Source organism: Homo sapiens, chromosome 2 (genome assembly GCF_000001405.40).
Source record: "Homo sapiens chromosome 2, GRCh38.p14 Primary Assembly".
Classification (NCBI taxonomy): domain Eukaryota; kingdom Metazoa; phylum Chordata; class Mammalia; order Primates; family Hominidae; genus Homo; species Homo sapiens.
In genome coordinates, this window is record NC_000002.12 from 240,322,942 (window position 1) to 240,332,749 (window position 9,808).

Sequence of the window (9,808 nt, forward strand, 5' to 3'; positions counted from 1 at the left end):
AGCAGCGCCCGACGCCCCCACAAAGATCCACGTGCTCAGAGTGAAGAAAGAGAAGTTACAGTCTAACATTCTGGGCTGAGCCACGTTGCCCGTCAAGGATGGGGAAAATAAAGGCGTGCCAGGACTGCCCAGGTGCCTTCCAAAACGTTACACATGCACCTGCTGCGGTGAAACAAGAGGACTCCGGGAGACGAAATGACGGGGCATCCAATAAGCCCCAAGTCGGCCCGCCCCTCCCTACCGGAGGGCAGTGGAGGCCCCGCCGGGAGTCCAGGCTCCGCCACCGCCATCAGACCCGACGTGCCGAGGAGGGACTTGGGCTGGAAGGGGCGGCTGAGAGCGCTGGGCTGCAGGGGCATCTGGAAGAGCGCTGCGGCCTGGGAGAGAGCAAACCGTGCCCGGCACAAGGAGAAACACAGAGTGGACGTTCCAGGCAAAACAGAAAGCTGTGCACTTCCCGGTTCTTCTGGGACTAATAAGGACTGAATCCCCAGAAATAACCGTTTAATTTATTTCCAAATTTAGAAATACATAAACATACTAATTAAAAGGACTTAGTTTTGGTCACAGAACAGCACGTAACCATTTTCTGCCTTGAAGAAGTGAGAGTGAATCCGGAAAGGAATGAGGAGGTGGAGGAAAAGGAGTCTGGGAGAACCACTGTCAGCGAGAGCCAGTCACTGCCCAAAGCGAAGGCAGCAGAAATAACGCAGACGTGCCTCTTAGAGGACTGACATTCACGGAAATCTTTGCTCATTTTTAGCGTTTCAGTAAAAACCTGGGAGGAAGAAACCAGGCTGCAAAGGCTGACAGAGGAAAGGTTGATATGATCACTCTGCAAGGAGGGGAAGGGGCCGGGATGGGACAAGGTTGGCTGAATCCTCCCCTGCCGCTGTGCCTGGGCGGTGATCCCGGCTTGGGTGTTTCTGTGCGGGAGGCCTGTGGGGATGCTTTGGAGAATGGCCTTTGCGAGGGAATTCGGGAAGCAGAGGGCAGAGGAGACGCTCACCTGCAATGCCGTTGCAGCCCCAGCCTCGGCCGACCCTGGGAGCTGGGAAGCTGGAATTGCCCTCAGAGGGGTCTCCAACTGGGGCAAGGGGCCAGGCCTTCAGACCACCGCATAGATTAGCCATTGGCTGGAGCGTTCCCAGGCGGAGGCATACACTCGGGAAGGGCAAAAGGCGTCCCAAGACAGCCTGGCTGTGAGCCATCAGCAGCGACTCCCAGCCCCTCGGCCCTTCGGGGCCCCAGGCCGGGCACCACACCATCCATCACAGTCCCCACATCCCTCAAACAGCAGTGGGGCCCGGGTGCCAGCAGCTCCTCCATGCCCTGGCGGGTCTCTTTACCCGGGAAACTCACAGCAGAGGGTTCAGTGGGACCAGCTGCAGATTCCCACTCCAGATCCCTCCACCCTTGGACAGCAGCTCCGTGAGAGAGGCGGCTCCCGGGGGGAATTAGAGGCTGCCCTCGTCATGCCGTTCATGCACTGACACTCCCACCGTGCCAGGACATGCCCCATGCTCTCTCCTTTCCGCCTTCTGCCTCCTCCAGGCCCTGCCAGTGTGGGGCTTTCTCCCCGGCCTGCTGGCCTCTTAGCTCAGAAGCCAGATGTGACCTGGTGGCAGCTACCCATGAAGTTGAATGAGACCTGTGCTGTGTCTCCCACGGAAGCACGACCCCTCCAGAGCCAGGACTTTACAATCTAAAAAGCTCAGAGTCGTGGGGAGAAGATATACCCGTCACCAAACCAATGCTGTGGATGGGGATAAGAGGAGCCTCTCCTACCTCCACCCCTTGGCTCCATGGGTCGCCCACGGGGCACAGCATTGCTCGAGGCGCTGGTTCAGAGTGCTCTCTGCGTCCAGGCGGGCTGCCAGAAACCTTCAGTGAGCTGGTCTGCGACACTCAGGCCCTCCACCGGCACATGGGACAGCAGCACCCACGCTGCTGCAGCCTGGTAGAGATGTATCTGGGAGAAGCGTTCACCAGCTGATGGGTGTTAGCGGGGATGCGTGACTCTCCTGCACTGTTCTATGGGGGATGGAGCCGAGGAATGACCTTCTCTAGGGAAAGGCTCCTTCTGGCCCAGGAACAGAGGTCCCCTTGGGGCTCTGCTGGCCCCTTTGCGGATGTCAGCACGTTGTGTCTTAAGGCGCTCATGTCTGCTGTCCACCTGCTTCGCGTGGCAGGTGTGTCTTAATCAAGTTTGAAAGGTCTGTAGATGCTATCTTCAGGTCTAGACTAAGCTGCTCTTCAGACGGCTCTCAGTTGACATATCGGTCCCTCCCTGGTTGGCATTAGCCTGTCATCAGGCACGCCTCCCTCCCATCGAGCCTGACCCCCAATCCCATCGTCACAAGGGCGGGCTCCCTGACTCTGGATGGGGGCTGAATCACCTGCTTCCCCGCTCCCTCCCCAGCACTCCGGCAGCATCCTGACTCTGACAGTGACACTGCCTTTGTCATGACCCCTCAAAGGCAGCCATGCCCTGGGTCCCCTCTGGTGAGAATAAATTGCAACCCCGGCCCAGCTTCACTGTGCACGCAGGCAGGTGACCCAGCCACGCTCTGCACCCACGTGCTCTGTGAGGAAGCTCACCAAGGATCCAAACCCTGGAATTTGAGAGGCAGGGCTTGCATGGATGAGGATGCACAGAGATCACGGGTTCCATGGCTGTCTGCCCATCTCTTTCCACACCCAGACCGGCTCCAACTGACAGAGCTCAGTGGATTCAGCAAGGCCCTCTCTGCACCTGAGTGGCTGAACTTCCTCAGGTGGGAGGAAATGAACCGCTCTTCATTTCCAAAAACACTGCACGGCATGGCCAGCGTGCACTGAGAGTGGTGTCCACCCACAACAGTCCTTGGCACAAGGCCACCTTGGCACCTGGCCAATTCGCCAGCCCTGACCACGTGGCCCCTGTGAAGTCAGGGGGTGCCCCGCCACTGTCCTGCCTCTCTGGTTTCAGAGACAGCAGTCCTGGTACTTTCTAAAGTAGTTCAGGTGTCCACACCTCCAGAGGCAGCTGATTTCCCTGGAAATCTTTGCTTATTTTTAGAGAGTTTCAGTAAAACCCAGGGTGAAGAAAGACACTGACAAGGCCCACAGTGAATGGCCGTCTGGCCTCTCCAGGGTCCTCTGTCATTCTGCATGCAGAGCTCCTGGCCCCAGGTCAAGAGATGAAGCCCCTTCAGGTCCACTGATGGGAGCTGTGAGAGGCCACTGCAGCCAAAGTGAAGACAACGTACAGAAGAGAATCAGCCTCTCGGGGGATTCTGGAGCAAGGGGAGCCTGTTGCATCCTCACATCTTCCCTTTTTGATGTCTCTCTTAAAAATATAACATTTCTGCTTTTAATGCATAAGATGAAAGCAAAGGTTTGGGTATACATTAAACACTTTTAAAGCCAGCAATGTGATTCAGAACAGTAAGGGAGCAGGGAGAAGGCTGGTACTTAACAGCATCATTAGCTAGGAATGTGGCTGAAGGGGAAGGAAACACTAATTGGCTTCCTGGGAGCCTCGTCCCTGAGAACAGCCCCTGTGCCATGGAAGTTTCTATCCACGTGACCGAGTAAAGGCAGAGAAAACCACGCTGGGGCATTTTTCAATTTTGCCTTGTTATTTCAAAGTAATGGCAGCCTGGGCAACATGGTGACACCTCATCCTTATGAATTTTTGGTTTTAATTTTCAAAAAATTAGCCAGGCATGGTGGTGTGCCCCTGGAGTGCCAGATGCTCAGGAAGCTGAGGCAGGAGGATTGCTTGAGCCTGGGAGGATGAGGCTGCAGTGAGCTATGTGCACAGTGCCACTGTGCTCGAGCTGCACTCCAGCCTGGGTGACAGAGCAAGACCCTGTCTCTAAATAAATAAATAAGCAAATATGTACATGCATGAAAGTAATGGCTATTGCCTTTTTATCATTTGGAAAGATCTCATATTCTTTCACAAAGAAAAACAGAAAATTTAAATAAGCCAAAAGGACAATATTTGCCCTCCAGCAAATCTACTTATCCATTAACTGTCCTTGTCAGCACCCTGACCTGGGATCATGGATGACACTGTCTGAAGGAGGATCAGCGCTGAAATGCTGCCCAGCGCTCAGCCCCATTTCAGGTGCTGCCAGACTGGCCTTTGGTGGAGCCCCCGCCGTGGGAACCAAGCATGTGTAGTAATCACTCCCCGCAGCACTGGCAAAGTTCTTCAGCCAGGCTGACATTAAAGTACGCAATTCTAACCTAAACGATCACTTTTCTCATTTTAACACGTTCTTACTGCATTACAACATCTTCCCCAGTCTTCAGAAAAGTGTTGACATTTTACTCCGCATGTCTGTATCAGTCCCGCAGGTCTGCTGTAACAAATTACCACGAACTGTGTGGCTTCTGCCACATTGTAAAGGCGGGAAGTTCAAAATCAAGGCATCAGTAGGGCCACGCTCCCTCCAAAGGCTCGAGAGAAGACTCTTTCCTTTCGTCTTTCAGCTTCTGGTGAATCTGGCATTTCTGGGCTTGACTTGTGGCTGTGCTGTGCTGTGAATATTGCTGTCCCTCCAGAATTCCTAGGTTGGAACCTCATCCCCATTGTGTTGGTATTAAGAGGTGGGGCCCTTGGGAGGAGATTGGTTCCACCCTCATGAATGGGATTAGTGCCCTTATTAAAAAGGCCTCGCAGAGCTTCTACCTCCTCCAGCACGTGAGGACTCCACTCCCTGAGCCAGGACTGTGACACCCTCTTTAGGACTCTGCAGTTCCTGGCATCTTTAAGCTTCTGGGCGCCACTGGACCCCACGCTCACTCGCTCACACACCCCTCGCCACTCTGCTCGCCTTTGGCAGGCCTGGGATCCAGGCCAGTAGCACGAGCTGAGCACAGCCTTCCAGGCTGAGTGGGCCCAGCGGGCCTGAGCAAAACTCAGGCAAAGGCACCACTGGCCACAGAGGTTTCCAGCTGGTGAAGCGACACCCCAAGGATCCCATAACAATAGGATTTAGGGCCTACCCCAAAATCCAGTTGCAAACTTACATCTGCAAAACCTTAACTTACATCTGCAAATACCCTATTTCTAAATAAGTTCACATTCGCAGGTCCTGGGGATTAGGACTTCAACATATCTTTTTGGGGGACACCATTCAACCCATGACCCTGGGTGTCTGAGCAAACATCCCTGCACAAAGAACATTGCAGACAGCTGGAGCCTTTCCCTCGTGGATGCAGAGGCACCCCGTCTGTCCAAAGCTGCTTTCACAGGAGAAATCCTGTTAAAGGCCTCATTCCCTCTTGCAATCCCTCAGTATTACTCGTCCTGGAACATCTGAACCTCTGCTCATGACATCTTACGTTTTGGCTAATTAGGTTTTCTGGTTATACAGCAGTAATCAGCAGACACAATGAAACCTTCAGGAAGTGACGTAAAAGGCACAGGGACCGGGGTTGGAAGACGGCTCCAGCCATTTTCTCTGTGATTTCTCTTGCCTGAAGCGGTTGTTTTTGGCAGTTTGGTGCATGGGGACCCTCGCCTAGCCCTGTAAGGGAAAGAGTCCAGCTCCCTCCTCATCCCCCTTGGAATCACTAAACCAAATGCATTGAGCTTCCCCAAGAGTCTTGCAACACCAAAAGCGTGTGCTTGTGGCCTGTGAATTCCTTTTTATTCCTAACCACCCAACTCCTCCTTATTCGCAGAATGGATCTTCCTGCCTTCCCCAAGCTTCACTCGCCCTGACGCTTCCTCTTTGGCAACTTATGCGGCATAAAACTCGCAGAGGAGACAGGCACCTGGGCCTCACACCTGCGCCACTAACCATGTCAGAGTGGGCAGTAGCCCCACTCACCTGTCAAGCTGCTCTTGGTCGGGGAGGGTCATCCCGGCAGCCCCTGAATGGAAGGGCTTGTCTGCTCCTCTCCCTTCCTTGTACAGGCATCTGAGGGTGCACCCACATCGACCACACCCACCCTCAACAACCTCCATCAATTTTTAGGGAAGGCAAAATTTGTGTTCCCGGTTGTCCTTTGCCACAGGCTCCAACGTGGCTCAGGCTCTTCCTAATCCCGTCTTCCTTTCAAATGTTGATATTTTGGCCATCAGACATTTTATTTTGCATTTGGTCTTTTGAAATATTGCAGTAAGATACTATTTATCATGAATCTCTAGTTTTTTGATGCCCCTTTAACTTTGTGCCCGAGCCCCTCACTCTAGATATTATCTTAAACCATAAACTTTTTATGGCTTAAAAAACAATGTCTGGGACAGCAAGGACAATCCCACTCTAGGGTGCTGTTGAGCATGGGGAGGAGGAGGCTGGTATAGGGAATGAGCATTTATTATAGCTTGATGTGCTTAGTGAGCCCTCAGTCGTGGGCTAGCCCCTGGGGACAGGGAGATGTGACAAGTCCCGGCCCCAAAGGGTCCGGAGCAGGTGAGGGGGTGGATGCAAAGATGAAAGGCAGCTACGGAAGTGTGCACTGGAGGCAGCCAGGCCAGGAGAGGACAAAGGGTCCCTTCTGCTGGAGGGAACGTCCCCTAGGGCACACGGGTGTGGGCAGCTTAGGCTGGGGCTTCTCAGGGCAGGGGCCGCAGAGGGTGGAGGAGGGGCTGGCAGCTGGGGCAGCAGCCCCTGGCCCTGGAGCCAACACATGCAGGCCTCTTCCCAACCCTGTGTTCACCGACCTCACAGGAGATTCCAGTGGGGATAGCAGGATAGATCGTGGAGACTGGAGTACACTAAAATTCCCGCAGCTGCTGCTGTTGCTGTTTCAGGGGCCTGGTTTACAGCACGGCACGGGCAGCAGGCCCAGCCTTGGGCATGGGTAGTACCCTGAGAGCCTGGGGCAGGGACCAATATGGGCTTTAAAGAAGTCAGGGATTCTTGAGGAGGACTTAGTGATGGTTCTCCCAGACCAGCACCAGGGAGGCCAGATGGGGTCAGCATCAAGAGCCCGGCAAAGTCATGGGAGCGTGAACCTAGGCAGGGGAACACTGACAGTGGCCAAGGCCAGGTGGCACCTGCCAGGCAGCCCCCAATATGGCCCCGTGTCTGTCTTCACAGCAACCTGAGAGAAGCATGTCATCCTCGCCTGCAGCTCACAGCTGAGGAGCTGAGATGCGGGAGGGTCAGCAGCCTGCCCAGGGGAGCACACTCAAATATGGCACAGGTGGTCAGCAAGCCATCCAGGGAAAGCTTCTAAAAGCTCTCAGAGAGGATAAAGAGGCCACTCAACAAGAACAAAAACCGGAGTGGCATCAAATGGCTCAGCAGCAACCCTGGACCCAAGAAGACACTGGAATAACACCTGCCAGGTGTGAGTGATTTTCCTGCAGAAAATCGTTTTGAACCTAGAATTCTAACCCAGCCAAACAACAGACATCTCACATGTAGCATCAATAATCCATTCCCCCAAATCAGCCATTCTGCATGAAAATGCTACCTGGGAACCTACTTTCTATTATTTTAAAAGGAATAATTATACTGTATTATATATCAATCTTACTGCCCCCCCTACTTTTCCAAAATGAGATAAAACATGATGGAACCTCTGTATATTAGTAACGAATCATGTTTGAGTATAAAATATAGACAGCCCATCCTAGTCATGAACAATCAGCCTGGCTGTGCACGCATGGCTGCTGTATGGACTGGGATGCTTCTGAACCAGCTGTCTCCAAGTCCCACACCCTTTGCTAATGTGCTGGCATTCTACCTGTTGTATGTGGAATGTAATTCAATCGTTTTACTTAAAATTGCAAATTGCATTTTGAGAATAGTGATGTAACTTTTTCCTGTACACACAAACATCCACTGAAAAACTGATATATTTCAAGACATAAGTTCTACCAACTTGTGATTAAAATCCAAGAGATAGTCACCAGGAAAGCATTAGCCAGGGAGATATCTAGGGGGCATGCCCTACATAGCTAGCAATCAATCAATCAATCAATGAGTAAGGGAAAGTAAATAAAGAATGAAGACATGTTCAGATACACAAAGTCTCAGAGTGTGTTCTTCCCAGGTACTGTTTGAATAAGAAATCATGTGATGATGTAAATATATTAATACATAATTTTTATATTATATCAAAATACAAATATGTAAAAGTTATGCTATATATAAAGCAGCATTTATATAAATTACATCAATAAAGGAAGAACACATTGTTATGTGATTTCTTATTCATCTTTTCTTCTTTCTTTATTGATATAATTTATAGAATGCTATAAAATTCTCTATTTTAAAGTGTGCAGTTCAGTAGCTATTTATGAGATTGTACAATCGTCACCACTAACTCCAGAACATTTTCATCACCCTAAAACAAAATTCCACATCAACAGGTGCTCCCCATGCCTCCTCCCCACCCATCCCCTGACAAACACTAACCTATTTTCTGTCTCTATAGATTTGCCTATGCTGGATATTTCAAATAAATGGAATCATAAAATCTGTGGCCCTTTGTGTCTGGCTTCTTTGACTTAGCATAATTTTTTGGGGGGCTCGTCCGTGTTGTAGCATGATTCAGTGCTTCATTCCTTTCTCTGTTCATCTGCTGGTGGACATTTGGGTTGTTTTCCCTTCGTGGCTCTTAAGAGTAATGCTACTAGAAACATTTGCGTACAAGCTTTTATGTGGACATATGTCTTCAGTTCTCTCTGGTATATTCCTAAGAAAGAAATTGCTGGGTTATATGGTAGTTCCATGTCTGAGGTTTTTAGGAACTACCAGACTGTTTTCCAAAGTGGCTGCACCGTGTTGCATTCCCAGCAGCAATGGATGAGGGTTCCCATTTCTCCACATCTTTGCACCAACAGTTGTTTTCCTTCTTCAATTATAGCCTGCCATTAATTTGCATTTCCCTAATGACTAATGACATTGAACATCTTTTCATGTGCTTATTGGCCATTCATATGTCTTCCTTGGAGAAATGTCTATTCAAATCCTTTGTCCAGTCTTTAATCGGCTTCTGTGTCTTTTTCTTATAGAATTATGAGAGTTCTTTCAATATTCTGGAGACTAGGTCCTTAAGAGACATATGATTGCAAATATTTTCTCTTACTATAGGTTGTCTTTTCACTTTTTCAATAGTGTCCTTTAGCATACAGAAGTTTTTAATCATAATGAAGCCTAATTTACGTATTTTTCCTTGATCGCTTGTGCTAAGGATGTGTTCTTGAAAAATGAAGTAAAGTCCAACAGAACAAGAAAATATGTGGGACACAACCCAGGAGAGAAAAGATGAAGACACCAAGGGCACAGATGTGCAGCCATCTGGCAAGCAGCTCCCCAGACGGAAGCAAGACGACACAGGCTCCAGAAGCATCGTGACGGAAGCAAGAAGACACAGGTTCCAGAAGCATCGTGACGGAAGCAAGAAGACACAGGTTCCGGAAGCATTGTAGAGAAGGAGGGTTAGACGTCAGGCACCCTTGAGATTCTTAAAGAACTCACTGAGTGATAAAGACAGACAATGTGAGAAATAAAAGGCAATTAAAAGTCCTAGGAAAACAAATAGCTAGACCATAGAGGAAATGATATCATGAGTCTGGAATAGATAATGTAATGTAATAAAGTTTCAATTAAAGAATATAAATGACTTTTTTGGTCTCACAATAAATATTTACATAGTCACAATAAGATAAACACTCCTGGTTTTAACATTTTAGGTTTTAAACTTTTGGGTGGAGAAGACTTAGTTATAATTTCAGAGCAGAATGCAAATGTCATCCACCTTGATGAGTGAAAGTAAGATGTCATTCGGCAGAGGCTGGGAGAAAGAAAGGTGGAAAGCGGTGAAGAGTGGGGCAGGGGAGCAAAGATCT

General features: G+C 50.0%; 1 annotated feature.

Annotated features, from left to right (window-relative positions):
* Positions 2,339 to 3,238: an enhancer, noted in NCBI's record as "H3K4me1 hESC enhancer chr2:241264697-241265596 (GRCh37/hg19 assembly coordinates)". NCBI's record gives its function as "activates a minimal SCP1, AML or CMV promoter by ChIP-STARR-seq in primed H9 embryonic stem cells {active_cell/tissue: H9 hESC(primed)}" and the evidence as "EXISTENCE:reporter gene assay evidence [ECO:0000049][PMID:30033119]".